The sequence below is a fragment of the Homo sapiens genome, chromosome 1, assembly GCF_000001405.40.
Source record: "Homo sapiens chromosome 1, GRCh38.p14 Primary Assembly".
In the NCBI taxonomy this organism is placed as follows: domain Eukaryota; kingdom Metazoa; phylum Chordata; class Mammalia; order Primates; family Hominidae; genus Homo; species Homo sapiens.
The window spans coordinates 115,722,630-115,743,407 of record NC_000001.11 but is presented as its reverse complement, the minus strand read 5'-3'; the positions used below and the strand labels follow the sequence as shown (position 1 = coordinate 115,743,407).

Below are 20,778 nucleotides of genomic sequence, written 5' to 3'. Positions count from 1 at the left end.
GCTGGGCATGGTGGCATGTGCCTGTAGTGCCAGCTACTTGGGAGGCTGGGATGAGAGAATGGCTTGAGCCAGGGAGATCAAGATTGCCGTGACTTCTGCCTGCATGATTGTGCCACTGCACTACAGCCTGGGCAACAAAGTGAGATTCTGTCTCAAAATAAATGAATGAATGAATAAATAAATAAATAAATAAATAAATAAATAAATAAACAAAAATAAAGAATGCTTGGGATGTCTCTTTCCCTGGAGACACATTGAGGGATATTTTTCTCCCTTGAGTATGGGAGCAAAATATGTTAAACTCTTTCCCTAGAGTCAAAAACAGTTTAATGGCTGGGCACAGTGTAATCCCAGCACTTTGGGAGGCCAAGGCAGGCGGATCACAAGGTCAGGAGATCGAGACCATCCTGGCTAACACGGTGAAACCCCGTCTCTACTAAAAATACAAACAAATTAGCCGGGCATGGTGGCGGGTGCCTGTAGTCCCACTACTCGGGAGGCTGAGGCAGGAGAATGGCGTGAACCTGGGAGGCAGAGCTTGCAGTGAGCCGAGATCGCACCACTGCACTCCAGCCTGGGAGACAGAGCGAGACTCCATCTCAAAACAAACAAACAAACAAACAAACAAACAAACAAACAGTTTAATGAGTTCTGTCTCCTCCCCCAGCAGTCTCTTGATTCTTCTTCTGCCTTCCCATTGGTTTAATGAGAAGTTGCATTTGGGAGAATTTCCAGCAAATTTAGTTAGAGAAAAATACTAGTGTCCCAGTGATCTAAAAATTTTGGGTGGACAAGCTGGGCAAGTATACATAAAAATAGACTAGCAAAGAATATGATGGCGCTTGATACACTGAAACAAGCTCAGTTTGGAGGAGTTGGGGTAGGTTCCTTCCGGTTATTTGATCCCTGGGGGTTTATAGGAGAGTGGAGGTATTTTGTGAACCTGCTCCTTCATCTTCATTTCTTTTCCATTTGCCTTATTTTGGCCTCTATCAAGTTGTGCCTCAACAATTGCAGTAGTCTTCTTACTGCGGTTTTGCTCAAGACAAAATCCAACAGCAGGACACTGGCCAATGTTCCCTAGGGCACCTTTTGAGATTGGCCATCATTGATATCAAGAAAATCTGGCAGGGCCAGACACGGTGTCTCATGCTTGTAATATACATATATAGTATAATTTTTCATATATAAAAAATATATAATTTTTCATATATACTTATATATGAAAAATTAGCCAGCATCATAGCACATGCCTGTAGTCTCAGCTATTCAGGAGGCTGAGGCAGGAGCCATGATCATGGCCCTGCACTCCAGCCTGGGTGACAAAGGAAAACCTTGTCTCAAAAAACAAACAAACAAAAAGAATACCTGGCACATTGCTCCTTTTGATTTACAAATGGTGCCTCTACCATTTCCCGCCCATGTGCCAGAGGCTGCTTATACCTCATGCATGCCTTGGGACACAGCAGGCTGCAGTCCAGCTTTCCTGTCCCTGGACGTTCTGCAGAAGAGTTCATTTGGAGAAAACTTTCTCCAGCTAACAGACTTTTACAACAATCTAAGGAATTAAGGATGCCAGGCAATTGGACTAAATGCCAGCTTTGTTTATTTAACATTCCTAAGGAGGAAAATGCATTTTTCCAACAAGCATTTGTTAAGGTACACAACATCAGACCAAGGGTGCTAAAGGGCAGCAAAATAAGAAGACGCTGAGCCTGTCCTTGCAGCATCTACCAGCCAACTGGATAAAGAAGATGTGTGGGATTCAGCTGGAACAGGAAAGCAAGCTGTCCATCCTGGCCACATACATTAATGGGTTGCTGATGTACACAGCCTCTGTACAAGGCTCTGGGATACCAAGAAGACAATGATCCTACCCTCAGAGAACTCACTTTGATAGTGAAGACCTGTAAATTGAGCTGAACAAAGATCAATAATGGCATGAGTTCAGTGAGATTGAAGTGACCTTTCTTAAGAAAAATGAATCCTAAGCTGAGACCTGAAGAAGCTAAGCAAGATGGAGGTCATTCCAGGCTGGGAGAACAAGAAAAACTAAGTCTAGAGAATAATGCTCAGTGACTTTTCCTTTACTCACCTTTTCATATAAACATGTGGACAGGAAGCAAAGGGAGTCCCACAGGGGACAAGAGAGCAGTTCTCAAAGGAGTACAAGTCTACCTAAGGGAGAATGAAAGGGATAGATTTGGAAACAGATTTTGGAGGGACTTTAAAGCAAGGTTAAGGAGTCAGGTGGGCAGTGGCCATTACAATTCTTTGATAAAGAGAATGACATGGGATCAGCTGTATTTTTGGAAAACTAAAGCAGTGGTGGAGTGGAGAATAGACTTTTCTTTTAAGTCAAAATCCAGCTGGAATTGTTCTGGACTATTTCCAATTAAATGTTCACTTCAGGAGCTCTTCAAAAGTGTTATTTCAAGGCAACTGCTTCTTTGGTTAATGCTAGTTCCACTAATCCTGACCCCACTGTCACCCAGAAACCCTCAGCCAGACCTCAGCCAATACAATCACTCTTCCTACGTCAGGATGACCTTCTCTGTGGGCCTCTTTGTTTCTTACAGGTTTTGATGAAGAAGGAAGCCTGTATATTCTTAAGGGTGATCGCACAATAGAGTTTGATGGCGAGTTTGCAGCTGATGTCTTGGTGGAGTTCCTCTTGGATGTAAGTATTTATACACAGTGACCCTGCATGGAGCTGCCTCTCCTCAAATATAGGGAGAGATAGAACCCCAAAGAAAGGACAAGCTGGAGAACCTGGCCTCATCTGTGACAGGTTTTTCAGGATTCACAAAAAACTAAGGAGCACCTATATTATTGCACTGTCTACTCTACTGGGAAAGTGATCTTTAAGCCACCCTAGAAACTGTTGGGGGCCATGTAGTAGTAATATGCTAATTCTGTTACCAGTTATACATAGACGTCTATTGAAATCTCCTTGGTTTTGCTCCACTGCTACTGAAGAGGAGCTGGGGAATGTGGGGAGTGAGGGGGCTAACCAGCCACCTGAAGAGAGAGGAGGGATGGGAGTACCAATCAGCCAGGTCACCCTGAGTTAGCCACCCTCAGAGCAACATAGAGAAGTGACAGAGCTAAACAGCCCCCCAGTATCACACTTTTTCAGCCATGGACATAGCACAGCCTCATATCCATATGCTTAGACAAACATAGGAACAAACATTATAAAAATATTTCATCCATAGATAAACTCACACTTGCAGTAACCGCTGTGAAGTTCAATGCTTTGAACACATATTCTTGCACAGATAAAGAACCTAGTGTTGAGCATCCATGCCGATGATTCTTTATCTACCAGCCAGTACCCAGTGGTCTATCATTCTTTCTCTACAGTGTCAAAAACCAGAGGGAAGGTCAGAAGTGAGTTGGAAGCTACATTTACCAAAAAAAGTGCCATCTCATGACGCACTGTGCTTGGCCATCTCATTGACTCACACCCACATGCCCTAAAAAAGTTGAGAGGGGTGACAGAACAACTCTGGGACAGCATGGTGCTGCCCCAGCTTTATCAGCTAGGGGGAGGCTTTTGGAAATAAGACTAACTGCTTCAAACAATAAACAATGTGATTGACTTACCTAAGTAGAAGGCTCTAGTTAGAGGAGACTTTAGACTTGATCGAATCCAGACACTGCCTCCATTTTTCTCTGTAAATCACAGATAACTGTGTTTTCAGTATGTTGCTTGTGTCCTCAAGCTGACTATTCTCAAGTTAGCTATAAGATGGCCAGCAGTAGGAACAAATACATTGCATTTCCTCATTCATATTTCATGACAGAAAAACAAATTTGGCTTCCCATTGCCCTTTTAAGAGTAAAGAACTTTTCCCAAAGCCTTCAGCAAATCTGTCCTTATTGGGCCAGTTACTTGCCCATTCCTGAATCAATAACTGGCAGGGGAAGTTATGAAATCCACCTAAATGTCCATCAGCAGATGACTGGATTAAAAAAAATGTGGTACATGGCGGAGCGTGGTGGCTCATGCCTGTAATCCCAGCACTTTGGGAGGCCAAGGTGGGCTGATCACAAGGTCAGGAGATCGAGACCATCCTGGCTAATACGGTGAAACCCCATCTCTACTAAAAATACAAAAATAAAAAAACTTAGCTGGGCATGGTGGTGGGCGTAGTCCCAGCTACTCGGGAGGCTAAGGCAGGAGAATGGCGTGAACCTGGGAGGCGGAGCTTGCAGTGAGCCTAGATCGTGCCACTGCACTCCAGCCTGGGCAACACAGCATGACTCCATCTCAAAAAGAAAGAAAAGAAAATGTGCTATACATACACAAGGGAATACTATTCAGCTTTTTTTTTTTTTAAAAAAAGAAAACTATCATTTGCAACTATACAGATGGAATTGGAGAACATTATGTTAAGTGAAATAAGCTAGGCACAGAAAGACTAATACAACATGTTCTCACTTATTATATGTGGAATCTAGAACACGAGAACTCAGAGAAGCAGAGAGTAGTTGCCAAAAGCAGGATGGGGTGGGGGTGGTGGGAATGGAGAGATAATGATCAAAGGGTGCAAAGCCTCAATTAGACAGGAGAAATAAGATTTTGTTCTTTGAGATATATTGTACAGCATGGTGAATATAGTGAATAATATGTATTACATATTTCAAAATCACTAAAAGAGTAAATTTCAAATGTTCTCACCACAAAAAATGATGAATATTTGAGGTGATGGATAGGTTAATTAGCTTGATTTAATTATTTCACATATTTATAGATCATAGCAACACTTTACATCCAATAAATACATACAACTATAATTTGTCAATCTACAATTAAAAATAAATGTTTTCTAAAACTGGCAAAAGGAATAGGTTGCCCCCACCAATCATTTAACTCTTTAAGTTAAGTTCTATTCCTCAGAAGGTACTGCTGGTATGCTCACTGGGGGATTGTGGGGAGAATGGAATAGATATTTGAGGCACCAACCACAAAGTCCGCTACAACTTCCCTCCAATGCACTCTGTTTCCCCAGTGAAGAAGGAAATCTCTTGTTTGAACATGTGTGTATGTGCGTGTGGCATTTCAGCTAATTGAAGACCCAGTGGAGATCATCAGCAGCAAACTGGAAGTCCAAGCCTTCGAACGCATTGAAGACTACATCAAACTCATTGGCTTTTTCAAGAGTGAGGACTCAGAATGTAAGTTGTCTGCCAACCCCAGCCGATCAGTCTAAAAGCTAGATTCCAAACAAGGTATGTCAGGTTACCCCAAAAGAGGATGGGTCTTCAGCACCTCTTTTGCTGGGTAGAATAGAAGTTAGAATTCTTCCTGAGCCTAACACAGTGGAGTACATGTGCAAAAATTGTACAAAACAGTCAGGAAAGCTGCAAGAATATTAAGGAGGGGCCAGGTTCTCCAGCTTTAAAGCAGGCTGAGTGTTCTACAAAAAAGAGAAAAGCTCTTCTCCACTTTTCCTGCCTACCCACCTCCCAGTCGGATTCTCCCCTACAATGGGACAAGCAATGGGCTGTCTCCCTGGCATTGGTAGCTCCTATGGTCACCAGCTGGAGAGCTTTGCAGTCAATTGGAAAGCATGAGTGGAAAATTGGGGTAGGGATGGGCTTAGCAGTGGCTACAGAATGTGAAAAATCGCTGGCCAAGCCCACAGCTGACCACCAAGGCTACCTGTCATAGTGCAGCCACACCCTTGGACATATTCCCTTTGAAAGCTTTGTGACCAGGTTTTGGGTGGACACAGAACCTATGATAACATCACTACAGCCCATATAGGGATGAGCGGGTGGTGGGGGTGAGTCAGGAAGAGCAGGCAGAAGGGACCAGGAGGAGTAAGCACTTGAGTACTGTACATATTTAAAACTGCTTTGGCAGCATGGCCCCCGTGAGGTAGGCTTTTTTCTGGTATCTCAGCCTTGGAGAGAGGAACAGCATTAGAGCGGGTGAGCATAACTCTGGTAGCATTCATACACGTAGGAAGTACAAATGTGGGCTGCTTATGACTATTTCTGAGAACCCCAAAATATTCTGAAATTGTTTGCAAACCCATTTCTTTAACCAGTCTTCCCACTAGCATCCTTAGTCACCTCATCAACAACCCATTCATTTTCTGTCTCCCATGCCCCAACTTAACCCTCTTTTCATTTGCTTCATTAAAACCTCCATTTACAGTGCTTAAAATGAATGTGCTAGAGGGAGGTGGCTAACCAGGGAGATTTGCCCCAGTTCTTCTTTAGGCAATTTTATTTTAGTTTGTACATTTCCGTATCAGTGCTGACTACTCTGGGGTGCTTCTCCTTCCCCTTCCTTTTCAGTTCGTCTGTCTCAATTTGTTTCCATCTTTATGTTCCTCTATCCTCTTCATCCATGTAGCTCAGGATGGCAGATAAGAGGGAAGCAAAACAAGGTTAGGATAAAGAGCACACCTTTCAGTACCCTTGGCGTCTTCCCCCGCCTAGACGAATCATCATGATAATAGTATTTAATTAACACATTTCATATGCTAGGGCCTATGCTAGGAGCTTATATGGATGCCTTAATTTCATTCTCACAACAAGCCTGTGAGGTGATTATCATTATTACCTGCATGTTAATGATGATGAAAGGATGGAACAGAAAGGTGCAATTAACTTGCCCATTATCACATGGCTAGTATGGTGTACAAAAGTAATATGAAATATATTACATATTGCATTGTAAAAAACCTCCAATTTTTAAAAAAAATTTTGAATGAGAATCTTATGCTTGCCTCAAGAATATAGCTTTTTTTTGAGACCTAGTTTTGCTCTGTTGCCTAGGCTGGAGTGCAGTGGCATGATCTTGGCTCACTGCAACCTCTGCCTCCTGGGTTCAAGTGATTCTCCTGCCTCAGCCTCCTGAGTAGCTGGGATTACAGGTGCCCGCCACCACGCCTGGCTAATTTTAGTGTTTTTAGTAGAGACGGGGTTTCACCATGTTGGTCAGGCTGGTCTTGAACTCCTGACCTCAAGTGATCCACCCGCCTCAGCCTCCCAAAGTGCTTGGATTACAGGCATGAGCCACTGTGCCCAACCCAGGATATAGCTTTTTGATATTAGGTTTTATGCTTAAAATAGCAACATGAAATTCCTTATCAAGATTTTAAATGATGATCTCTTCAAATTCTTGATGGTCACCTTGGACAAGAGACTTCACTTGTATATGTGGATAGTGACAAATGGGAGGACAATATCCATTGCTTTTTCTATTTTTTTTTTTTTTTTTCGGGATGGAGTTTCACTCGTGTTGCCCAGGCTGGAGTGCAATGGTGCAATCTCGGCTCACTGCAACCTCTGCCTCCCGGGTTCAAGCAACTCTCCTGCCTCAGCCTCCTGAGTAGCTGGGATTACAGGCGCCTGCCACCATGCCTGGCTAATTTTTTGTATTTTTAGTAAGGATGGAGTTTCACCATGTTGGCCAGGCTGGTCTGGAACTCCTGACCTCAGATGATCCACCCGCCTCGGCCTCCCAAAATGCTGGGATTACAGGCGTGAGCCACTACGTCCGGCCTGCTCTTTCTTTGACTGATGAGCTTTCTTTTTTTGCCATTGGACATAATTCAGATAATTCCATCTCTAAAGTGTCCTTCAAGGGCACTTAGTTCAATCTGACAGCTATCACTTTTCTTTTCATTGACAAATGTAATGTTCATATTCCTTATAATAATTTGAATGAATTTGAAAGGATTACAGATCTTAATTAAATTTTGTATATCATCAATATTTCAAAATAATAATGAAGCTTTTCCTTAGGAATACACAGATATTGCTCTACTGATCTTAATAATCATTCTTAAAATTTAATAAAATTGCTAGTGAATCATTTTAACCTCTTTTTAAGGTTGAATTTTTGTTTTTAAATGTATAAACTTTGTTAGTACATTATATATTTCACGTAGCCCTTGCAATTTTCAATTAAGTACATTCAAGTAGGTGTTTAGCAAGATCTAGCCTTTTTTGAAGCCAATAATGATCCCTCAAAATATTTTCAAAGTAAGCATAATTCATAGCATAGTTTTAAATCTAGTTTTTAGCTAATAAACTCTGTAAAATTCTTGCGCAGTTAACCCACTTTAGGATGAAAGAGCAGGGAGAGGTCTCCTGAACCCATTTCTTCACCAAAAGCTATAAAGAGAAGGAGTTATACAGGTTTGAATGTTATTGGAGTCACTTTTTAAAAATAACAACCTTTTTGTGGAATGCAGATTCACAGGCAAACCTTTATATGATGAACTTTTTCTCTGAATAAATATTATTTGAATCTCAAGATTTTCAGAAAGAGCTTGATGTAAAGCCTTTACACTTTCTTGTCATTGTAGCTGTACTATCAGTACATGAACTTGGACATTCAAAATCTGACTTCAGAGTTTAACTGTGTATAGAATTCATACACTATAAAGTTTATACATTTAATTGTGTACACTTATTTTGTGCAGTGCTTTCAGAATCTATTTTGACATGTTTATTTACTTCTTTGAATGTTTCATCCCCAACAAATTGGTTTGGTTCTTCTTTGTAAGACAGATGATATTATTCCAAGCATTTCTGGTCAGGGTTTCTAACTGGTGCCATCAACCACACCCAGTTACTAACGTCTGTGATACTAATATCCAGTACGCACAACCCTGAGAGAGGGGGAAGAAAGGAGAGAAAATGCTAAGATAAGTTTTTAGTAAGCTGGAGGCTGGGAACTCAATGTTCAGGAGCCTATTCCAGAAGCCAAAAGAGTCATCAAAGAAAGTGGGAAAGGGGTCTGACTGGAAGGGACCAGGAACAGGCTGGTCAGGAGGCAGGGAAAGCCTAGAGATGACCTGAGCTCCAACAGAGCAGAAGACAAGAGGAGGCTTCTTGGAAAACAACTGCTGTTTGGCTGAGGCTAAAGGTCAAGCCACATTTTGAATCACCCATCTGGAGGTCACCTTGCTCCATTCTTCATCTTAAAGTGATGTAGACCAGCTCTCCAAGAGAGGAAGGGAAGCTCCTGACACAGGCCTAAGCCATTCTTTCCAACAGGGTGGGAGTTCATGGAGGGGAAGAGAAATTCATCAGGGACATGGGGATTGGAAAAGAGGGGGATAGAGGATTCTGATAGAGCCCACTGCTGCTTTAGACACAGATGGCTTAGGTGTTGCTTTAGCCATTCTACTTCCTTACTTTCACTCCATTCATTCTTCAAATGCTCTCAGCCAACTTCTCCCCTCCACCCAATTCTCGACCCCAGCTATGATGTTACAGGATATCTTTTCTGACTACCTGCTTACTTTTATGAGGACAAGTTAGTGTGAGTGTGTATCAGTATGTGCAAGTATTCTCATGACTTTCCAACCCCTCTCTCACCTGTGCTTGCGGCACTCACCTCTGTTGTAACAACTATCATGCTGCATTTTGATTCTTTAAGGATCAATAGCTCTCTCTAGGCTGAGAGCTTTTGAAGATCAGTATCTTTGTCTTATTCATTTTGGTATCCTCTGGATTAACATTGTTCTAAAAAAATTTTGATAGAATCTTAGTAAATTCTGCATGGTCCCAGAATTCTAACAAAGGCTTATACTTCACACGGTTAAGGGAAATGGAATTCCATGAAATGGAAAGAAGCTAATCTTGTTAAGAATAAATCACAGGCTCATTGACTCTCAGGCTTATAGCATTTATTCATAACCACCACCACCACCACCACAATTACCATCACCCTCACAACTAAGGTTTGAGGACAAATCTCTTTCCCAAGTAACTCCCCAGGTGTACCAAGGTACAGCACTCCCACACTCACCTGATCTCATACTGCCTCGGCCAGTATGGACTCAAGTTTGAGACCATAGTCAATCAAGAGCTTGATTAAGTTTAAGAAATCCTCTTGAGGCATCAGAATAAAAAAGAAAACTTTAAAATGAAAAAAAGGGAAAGAAAACTAGAATTCAGCAACAGGAGTACTTCCATGAAGAAGTTTAAAATACTTCTGTGATGTCAATTGTGATTGAGGTTACTTTACACTGTGAGACGAATTTCCTTCTTACTTAGGGCTCATTTATTCTGGCAAACTGCACTCTCTCTAGAGGGCATGATTATAAGTAGCAGTGAGTTAGAATGAAAGGTCTTTTTATTTTGGTTTGGAGTTTTACGCGTCTTTTTCTCTCTCTTTTCCTCCCGGTTCCCTCTGTTTCGTGCTTTCTACCTGCAGTTCATAAAAGTGTGGTGAATGGGTCTTCTCTTGGGCGTTTGAATGCCAGTCAATTCCAACTCCTTGGGGGGAACTATGGGCTTAAATAATATTAAATAACATCTATGTAAACAATACCTACTAAATTATTATCCAATCAGGATTAATTGGCTTTCTACTCTCTACACCATTTAAAAAGAAGATTCTTCTGTGTTCATCTTGAAAATGTCTCTCCCTTCATCTTTATTTTTCCCCTTAGACTACAAGGCTTTTGAAGAAGCAGCTGAACACTTCCAGCCTTACATCAAATTCTTTGCCACCTTTGACAAAGGGGTAAGTACCTATGAAACCCCAATTTGAACAGTTTTGTAGGCATGAAGAATTAAAGTTTGAACTCTCACCACTCTTTCTTTTCTTTTAGCAACATTAACCATCCTCCCTTGCCTCTTTCTCTAGAAGGGTTAAGAATTATATCACTAAATCACTATTGGATTTAAGATGAGTACAAAGATGACTAAGTCAGAGGATGTAAGGATATTTATGAAAACATCCAAGGAAAAGTGATGACCCACCATTATCTTCTTATACACTGAGATGGGAAACGTGTGGGCCCAGAGTGTGCCAGCCCACTGAGCCACTGCTTCCTTTTTCCTTAGGGGGTATCCTCTCCCTTCCTGGGGTTGCATACTTCCCCTTCTACTGCGTCAGGATGGGAAGTAGAATGGGAACTCCTCTGTGATTAGTTCAAGCAAGTGTTCTGCGAAAAACAAGAGGAAGTCAGTGAGCTGAAGCAGGGAAGGGACGTGGTGGGATGAGATTGCATTCAGTTCATGTATATGATGAACCACTTCTGTAGACATGGCCCAGTCTTCAAGCCTATGATCCAGAAGAGTGCTCTATAATCCAAGTAACATAATCTAAACTTGAAGAATGTTTATCCTAATTAGTTGTATTACAGTTGGGAGGGATCTTGAGCAAGAATAATCAAAAAAGCTATCATGTATTAAGTGTCTATTATGGGCCAGGTGCTGTGGCTCACACCTGTAATCCCAACACTTTGGGAGGCTGACGGGGGTGGATTGCATGAGCCTTGGAGTTGGAGACCAGCCTGGGCAACATGGTGAGACCCCATCTCTACAAAAAATACAAAAATTAGCTGGGTGTGGTGGCACACACTTGTAGTCCGAACTACTTGGGAGGCTTGAGGTGGGAGGATCACTTGAGCCCAGGAGGTTGAAGCTGCAGTGAGCTGTGATCATACCATTGTACTCCAACCTGGGCAATGGAGTGAGATCCTCTCTCAAAAAATAAAAATATAAAAAATAATAAATTCAAAAAAATTTTTATGTGCCAGAGTCTGTGCTAAGAAGTCTCTTTGTGCCAGAGTGTGTGCTAAGAAGTTAACATGGATTTTCTCACTTCATCCTTTCAACACTCCCATAAGGGAGGAATTAGTATCCTCATTCTACAGAGGATGAAACTGAGGTGCTGAAAGATTAAGTGATTTTTTCATGATCATGTAGTTACTGAATTGAGAAGCTTGCTATAATCTCAGACCAGCCTGACTTCAAAGTCAATGCTCTGTCCTACTTTACTCCAGAGAAAGAAGCAATATATGCAAACTGCCTAGCTGGTTTTTGGCACACAGGAAGCATTCAGTAATAGTTAGCCAGCTATGAGCACCATTGTTCATAAGAAAGCAATCATCTAGGCCCAGGAAGTGGGAGGATTGGATAGGATATTAGTAGAGAAAGGGAGGAACAGAGAAGCCGAAACTGAATCCATTACTGACATATGGTTCTGATGGACCATTTGGTTCTAATGGACTAGGTGTGGCTAAAGAGGCTCCTGGGTAAGAATCCAGCTGAAAGGAATAGAGAGGCAGGCCAATTAATTTGTCCAGCAACAAAGCCTTAGTTTTTAGAGGGGTGGTTCAACGTTGAGCTCAGGGTAGTATTTGTTTGTAGAAGTGCCTCCTAGTGCAACTGTATAGCTTCATGCCTGTGGTCCATGAAAAAGGTGAGGTCAGGCTATGATTAAAAATTCAGAGAGATGCTTTATTCAAATTCTGTAGGACACTGAGTCATAAGTGCCAGTGTTCATGTAGCCTTGTTGGATTTCAGAATATTTAAAGAGACAAAGGTACACAGAGGGGAGAGCACTGAGAGGACTCTGATGCCATTTGGTGCTTAAGAACTTGCATCCATCAGTTGGGGTGGAGGGGGTGTCCAAGGGGAGATGGTGGAGTCCAGAAGGCATGACTGCACCTGGTAGAGCCTCAGTGGTTTCCAGCAGGGAGTGCTAGGACAGAAGAGGAGAAAAGTAATAAATGTGAAGTGGCTGAAAGGACCTGTTTGTACAACACATCCTAGGGAATCTCAGAGGGACCTGGAGGTGCTTTGTTGAGGTCTGAAACCAGGAGAGGCAAGGGACAAGAAAGCACTAATGCGGTCACAAAAATGCAAAAAACAACTGGCACTAGTAAAAGTGGATATAACAAGAAGATCTGGCCATTGATGAGATGATGAGAGAAGGCCTCAAAATAACTTAAGATAGCAAGTCTTGGCGTTAAGACAGCAAAAATTATGAAGCTACTGAAAACATTAGGAAATCCAGGAAGAAGAATCTATTGAGGAACAAGAGATGGGGTTATGAGTTCTATTTTCTAAAAGTTGGGGAAACATTCAACTGGAAATGTCCTTAATTAATTAATTAATTAATTCAGTCATTCACTCAACAAGTATTTATTGAGTGCCCTTTATGTGCCAGGCACTCTTCTTAGTGCCAGGGACACAACATTGAGCAAAGCAGATTCCTGCCCTTTAGAATTTAAAGTTTATTGTGGGAAAGAGAAGATGGAAAGACAGAAAGTTCAAAAGTAAACAAACCAATAAATACATCATATGAGTTGCAAGACTGTAAAGAGGGTGAGATGTCATGGCTGCTGATGTAAATTTGTCAGTCAGTAGTTCCCAACCACTATCCATATTAGTATCCTCCAACAAGCTTTTAAAACCATTGGTCTCTGGGCCCCAGCCCTGGAAATTTTAATTTTTTAGGGTTGTGGCAGTGTCTGGGAATCTGCATTTTCAAAAGCCACCCAAGGAATTTTAAAGGGTGTGGAGGTTTAGGACCAGTACTGATCTATTAATACTAATCCTAAATCAAGCCACACGAAGGCCCAACCTCTCTGAAGAAGCAGTTAGAACAAGAAAGTGTCAGAGGGCCAAGGATGGTTCCACTCTGCTGCACCTCACAGCCTGAAAAATATCAGTTCTTAAAATCCCATGTCCCCGCCCACTGACCTGTTCCTCTCTCTGTCTGAGTGAACAATGAGACGAAAAATCACTTTCTTTTTTAAATCACACTGGAGCCAAAGGGTGCTGTGACTAAACAAAGTTAGTGGAGAAGATAGATGTTGGGAAGACCTAAATTTAGTAATGGCAAAAACCATTACTTTTGGCAAAAACTGCGATTACTTTTGCACCAACCTAATACTTGAGTTGGTTTCATTGGCAACAACTAAAATGACTTGCTAACTGGAGGAAAAATGATTTGTATCAAAATTCATATACATGCACATGTCAGAAAATTGGCATTGTACTTTGTAGTTTTCTTATCTTTGTTGAAATCTATTCCAACTAGTTAACAGATAAAAGCATGAAAGAATTCATTTTTATGGACCCATTTGGTTCTTAATAATATAATTCATTCTTATATAATGCTAATACCCATGAACCAGATCTCCTCCTGGAATAATGCCTTGGGTTCAGTAGGCCCCACTAAATACTTACTGAATAAATGAATGAATAAAAGCTTCAACCAATCAAATCCCTTCAGTCCTTACCATCCAAGATAGGAATAATAAGAATGAAAGAGGGGGTCGGGCGCAGTGGCTCACGCCTGTAATCCCAGCACTTTGGGAGGCCGAGGGGGGAGGTGGATCACCTGAGGTCAGTAGTTCAAGACCAGCCTGGCCAACATGGCGAAACCCCATCTCTACTAAAAATACAAAAATTAGCTGGGTGTGGTGGCCTGTGCCCATAATCCCAGCTACTCGGGAGGCTGAGGCAGGAGAATCGCTCGAACCTGGGAAGCGGAGATTGCAGTGAGCCGAGACTGTGCCATTGAACCCCAGCCTGGGCAACAAGAGCAAAACTCTGTCTCACCAAAAAAAAAAAAAAAAAAAAAAAAAAAAGAATGAAAGAGAGGGATTCTCTGAGATACAAGATGAGAGCACTCCATGATGGTGGTAGGTAGACAGTGAAGAGATCCCTGGGAAATTTTTACTTAGCATTTCCAAGACTTAAATTAAGGACACGACAATCCAATTTTTACATTCTTAGACAGCACTGTGGACCCAGACATTGGCATTCAGAGACGAGACTATCACCACCACCAGGCGGGTTTGACTTCTGGCTCTGCTCCCTCCAGATATATGATCCTGACAAATTTCTTACCCAAATTGTGCCTCAGGTTCATCATTTGTAAAATAACTATGATAATCATTCTTACCACATACAATCAAAGTGAGAATTAAACAAAGAATCAACCTAAAACACCTGGCAGCAGTGCCTGGCACGTGATAAGCACTCCATATGTTTGTTATTATTACTGTTTTCATTCTGATCACTTCTCCTTTCATGGAAACAGTCTTCTGGTTCCTAGAATACATAGTAAGTGAACTCAGAAAACCAGAATTCAATGTCATTTTCTTGCCCACTCTGGCTCCCTGCCTCATCACCTCATCATCTACATCACCCCCCTACCCCTGAGAAGAGGGAAAAACAGTTAGAAAAAACTCCACATCTCCCTCTCTTAAAATTAACCTGACAATAAAATCTCCCTTGACTGACTATAGCTGTCAACATGGCCTGTTTTCTTGATCTCTGAGTAGGATGCTGGAATTTCTCTCCCTTAAGTACTATATGAAATGCCTTTCAGAATATAGTGACCTGGAATTCATAGCAATTGATGACAAAAACCATATGGATATCAATGTTTCCTCAGAATGGATCTCCTTGTGTAAGAGCTTATGCAATACCCAGCTCCTCCCCTTCCCCAGTTAGTTGCAGCCGCCCTGGGTCACGGCACCACGGGTTACCACCACAGTGCATCAGCTCTTAGGCAATTCCTCTTCAGCTTAAAGGGAACCACTGTTCATCCCTGCGCTTTCTTGAACCACAGCTCTGAACTAGAAAAGAGTGGCATTTGGTTTTCTATAGAGCGTTGCACATTCCAGGCCTCTGAAATCATTTCACAAACAGAGGTCCTGAGTTCAGCAGCTGTGCAGGCAAACAGCAACCATTCTGCCTTGACAACACACTGAACATGTGGCTGCTTTAATCCAGAGAGAAAATGTCTTCCTGGCTATCGGCTGGCTCTCCGAGCTCTTTATCTGTTGTAAGATGAGCAAATCATCCTGGCTTACTGGGGTCTGTCCAAGTTTCAGTACTGAAAGTCCTGCATCCCAGGGAGCCCTTCCACCCAGAACAAAGCAAGATGGTCAGTCACCTCATAACTGCTGACAAACTGGGCAGCTCCCAAAGCCTGACAAACCATGAAGCAAGTTGGGTACTGAGAGATTTAACTGTAGGGCCAGCACTTCAACCTAAAAAGCAATTAGGGCTATGAGCAGATCAAAGACAGGCTAATGGGTTGGGTTCTGATTCTGAGTACCTATATGCCTTAAGGATCTCCATCAATTGCCTGTTTTATCAACATTGGTTCCATTAAATCCATACAACACAGGATAGTAAATATGCTCCATTGGCATTTGCTTCCCATCCAGCCCTGGCAAATGCAGTAGAGTGATGGTGATTGTAGAATTAAATTTCCCACTTCGCATCTCAACTGCTCCCTGCCCCTGCCCGACCCTCATTTGCTAGATAAGTCTTTTTCCTTCCTATCTTTCCTTCTTTGATCACAAAAGAAGATTAGTCTAGCCAGGCCTTGGGTGATAAGTTCCTGTCACTTCAACATTGAAGTTAAAACTGTACATCTGTTTTTATGTCTTTGCCGGAAAACATACACACTTATCTTAGATGGACAACACACTGCTATTCTAGACTAGTATTCAAATAAACTTTGTCTTATTTCTAATGGTTACAGGTTGCAAAGAAATTATCTTTGAAGATGAATGAGGTTGACTTCTATGAGCCATTTATGGATGAGCCCATTGCCATCCCCAACAAACCTTACACAGAAGAGGAGCTGGTGGAGTTTGTGAAGGAACACCAAAGGTGCCTGAGATGGCATGTGGGGGCTGGGGGCCTGGGGTCTGGGGAATGGAGAGGAGCCTCTCTGTGCTAACATTTCAGACCTGCCAAGAGCAACAACCTAGTTAGTACCCCAGCAGTACAGAACTCAGTAGTATGGCTTTGTTGATCAGTAATGACTAGCAGGGATGTTATTACTTCTGAATCTAAGTCTGCACCTGCAAGCAGAGTTTGATAAATCCCTCAGTCAGCAAATCCCCTCAAAGCCAGGGCAAGATATAAATAAAATTCTATACTAGGAATGAGAGCAATTTAGTGAAAGTTCCCATATACCAATAACCATGCCCAGTGCTTTAGGGAAACTATTTTATCTAATCTCCAACCTTAGGGAGTAATTATTATTATCCCAATTTTACAGATCAAGGAATTGGACTCAATAGTTAAGTAACTTAGCCAAGGATGAACACTCTATGCATAGAACTTCTGGGAGAGAAATGCTTGATACCACTTAGTGTAGCTCCAGCATGGATCAGCAAACTTTTTCTGTAAAGAACAAAATGGTAAATATTTCAGGTTCTGTGGGCCAGATGGCGTCTGTAGCAACTACTTAACTGCGGCTGTGGCATGAAAGCAGCCATGGATCATGTATAAACAAATGGGTGTGGCTGTGTACCAGTAAAAGTTTATTTAGGAAAACAGGAGGCCCTGGCTGGATTTGTCCCACCAGCTGTAGTTTTTTGACCCCTGCTCTTGAGGGAGGGAAGATATGGGAATATGGAACATGGTAGTGGACTCACTGGCTTGTCCCTCCACCCTACCTGGCATGTACACGAGTGTGTTCATTGGACCTGCAGTACTGTGATCCCCCTCACCTGGACAGTCCTAGTTCCTTCAGGAAGGCAGTACTTGGAGGAGCAAATATTAATATGTCCAGCACTATTTGCCAATATTCAGAAAGAAATGAAACTATGAGCAAAATATAGATCCTGTCTGCTCCCCTAAATATCCCTAAAGGACTTTCAATGTATACACCAGATGATAAAACAAAGGCAGTTTTAACCTACAAAATCCGAGATTTCCTGTTTTCCCCCTCAGGTTTCTCATTCCAGGCCTGCTGTGGGCTCTCTGGAGTGGTGGCTATCTGTGAGGAAGGAAATGGCATCTTGCCCTGGGAATGAGCTGACCCTGTGCCCTCTGACCCATTGTTTGTAAAAGACTTTATAATTCTTGGATCAGTGGGTCTATGAAAAGGCTGAGTGCCTTGGCCCAGCTCGCTGTCTGACACAGCAGAGTAGAGCAGGTCTGTTTCCTTAGAAGATAAGTGGGTTTTTAGGGCTCTCCCTGCCTTGCAAAGGAAGCATCATCTCATTTTACATTTCATAATGCTGTGGCTGCTGTGTCTGCCACAGTGATCCCTACTCAAGGAAGCTCTTTCTTTTTTTTTTTTTTTTTTTTTTTCCAGACCCACTCTACGTCGCCTGCGCCCAGAAGAAATGTTTGAAACATGGGTAAGAAAGAGGCAAACTCTCTTTGCCTTGTAGAGATGAGTATAGTCCCAAAGAGGAGTGCTTCTTAGATTAAGTCCCCAAACTCAAACCAAGTTTATTTGGCTGAGGTGGATGTCTAGATGAGTATTTGAAACATGGACAGATTGGGTACGACGGCTCAGAACTGTAATCCCAGCACTCTGGGAGGCCGGGGCCAGGGATCACTTGAGTTCAGGTGTCTGAGAGCAGCCTGGGCAACATAGCAAAACCCTGTCTCTACAAAAAAATGCAAAAAGTAACCGAGCATGGTCGCATGTGCCTGGAGTTCCAGCTACTTGGGAGGCTGAGGCAGGAGGATTACTTGAGCCTGGGAGGTCAAGTCTGCAATGAGCTGTGATCCTGGCACTGCGCTCCAGCCTGGGCAACAGAGTGAGACACTGTTTCAAAAAAATGAAACAAAACAAAACAAAAACATGGACAACTTCATGCTCAATTAAAACACAGTTCTCCATGGATCAATCCAAGCCTCTTTGGTACTACTCACTAGGCAAAATTGCTCTTAGTTAATTTCCTGCAGTGACTATAGCTTCTGTTCATTGATCATCAGAGCCACACAGTAACACAGTGGAAGGAACTCAGGCTATAAAGTAATAGAGACTAGGGTTCAAGTCCAGAATCTGCCACCTAGTAGCTTTGTGTACTATGTCAAGTCCTGTGGCCTTTCTGAGCTGTCTAAATTTCCTCATCTAAAATTGGGACTTTTTATAAGGATGAATATGAAGAGTTCACTATATGGTAGCTGTTTTTTAAAAATATCAACTGAAGGCACTGGCAAGCAGCTGAGCCAACTTGTCTTCTAGGTTTGTGTCATGGATAATATGTCAGGCAGCTCAAACAGTGTTAGATAGAGGGCCTTGGAGATAAACCCCCAACCCACACCTTATGTACAGAAGTTCATAAATAACAAAGGCTGTGGAGCATTTTTCAAAGCATTTCATGCATCTTTTTATTTGGATCTTCCAATAGCTCTAGAAAGTGATGTAGAACAAGTATTATTAATTAGTCGGGCATAGTGGGGCACGCCTGTAGTCCCAGCTCCTTGGGAAGTTGAGGTGGGAGGATTGTTTGAGCACAGCAGCTTGAGACTTCAGTGAGACATGATAATGCCACTGCACTCCAGCCTGGGCAACACAGCAAGACTCTGTCTCCCCAAACAAACAAACAAAAACCAAATACTATTTTAGCCCCGTTTGACATAGTCAGAAACTGACGCTCATACAGATTAATCACTAAAAGACACATAACTAAAAACCATTAGTTCTTGGAACTTAAATATAAGCCATCTGGAGCCAAACCTGGTGTTCTCTGCAGAATGCCTCCCCAGAGTGACTATGTCCCCACAAGGGGCCATTTGGTGTGAGGGCTGGGAAGGAGGAGAAAGGAATTAACACGGAAGTATTTATCTGTTTAATTCTTTGAAGTGATGGATGAACAGAACCAGGGAGCAACTTGACACTGTTTTACTGGTCTGTAACTTACTTGGATGTTTGAAGGTAGAGCAAACATTTCACAAGATACCAAAGGGTAAATAATCCAGTCCAGAGGAGCGGACTATTTAATAACAACTCAGCACAATAGAAACAAACTTTCCTAACATTTAAACCTTTCAAAGATATTAAAAGGGTCTTATCGCTAGGCATAGTGACTCATGCCTGTAATCTCAGCACTTTGGGAGGCCAAGGTGGGCAGATCACTTGACGTCAGGAGTTCGAGACCAGCCTGGCCAACATGGTGAAACCCCATTCCTACCAAAAAATACAAAAATTAGCCGAGTATGGTGGCAGGCGCCTGTAGTCCCACCTACTCTGGAGGCTGATATAAGAGAATCACTTTCATCTGGGAGGCAGAAGTTGCAGTTAGCTGTGATTGCACCACTGCACTCCAGCCTGGGCAACAGAGTGAGACCCTGTCTCAAAAAAAAAAGAGTCTTATTAATGTATTTTAAAATAGTAATAGCAAAAAGATATAATAGTGCTTTAAAATAGTATTTTTTAAATTGTTTTTGCTTTTTACCCTAAAATAATTTCAGATGTACCAAAATAGTGCAAAGAACTTCAATATCTCTTCACCTAGATCTCCCAAATGTTAACATTTTACCATCCCTTCTAGCTACATAGATACATAGATAGATGATAGATAGATAGATAGATAGATAGATAGATAAATAGATAGATATAGAGAGATATAGATAGATGATAGATAGATAGATAGATATAGAGAGATAGAATTTTCAAAATCAGGAAATTAACACTGATATAATACGTCTACTACCATTATTCAAATTGGCCAGTTGTCCCATCAATGTCCTTTACTGCAAAAGAAAAACGTCTCTTTTTCCTGGCCCAGAATCCAATCCAGGATTCCACACTTACATTTGCCTATGTTTCTCTTTCTTTTTCTTTTATTATTATTATTTTTTTTGAGACGGATTCTCCCTCTGTCACCCAGGCTGGAGTACAGTGGCACCATCTTGGCTCACTGCAGCCTCTGCCTCCCAGGTTCATGTGATTCTCCTCCCTCAGCCTCCCAAGTAGCTGGGATTACAGGTGCATACCACCACACCTGGCTAGTTTTTGTGTTTTTAGTAGAGACAGGGTTTCACCATGTTGGCCAGGCTGGTCTTGACCTGCTGACCTCAGGTGATCCTCCCTCCTCGGCCTCCCAAAGTGCTGGGATTACAGGCATGAACTACCACGCCCGGCCTGCTTATGCTTCCTTAGTCACCTTTAATTTGGAACAGGGTCTTGGTCTTCGTCTTTCATGGCACAAAATATCACTTTAAATTGAGAGTCATTATTGATGTTCTCTTCTGCTGTGGCTTTATCTTCAGTTTTTTTCT

General features: G+C 42.1%; 1 protein-coding gene across 1 annotated transcript in view; it reads left to right on the top strand.

The window, feature by feature from the left end:
* CASQ2 (calsequestrin 2) overlaps nucleotides 1-20,778 on the top strand; it is a 68,694-nt gene that overhangs the window by 25,307 nt on the left and 22,609 nt on the right. The window contains exons 3-7 of the mRNA NM_001232.4: nucleotides 2,580-2,680; nucleotides 5,073-5,184; nucleotides 10,434-10,507; nucleotides 16,286-16,416; nucleotides 17,855-17,900. Of these exons, the coding sequence (NP_001223.2) occupies nucleotides 2,580-2,680; nucleotides 5,073-5,184; nucleotides 10,434-10,507; nucleotides 16,286-16,416; nucleotides 17,855-17,900 (464 nt within the window). The remainder of the gene's footprint in view (nucleotides 1-2,579; nucleotides 2,681-5,072; nucleotides 5,185-10,433; nucleotides 10,508-16,285; nucleotides 16,417-17,854; nucleotides 17,901-20,778) is intronic.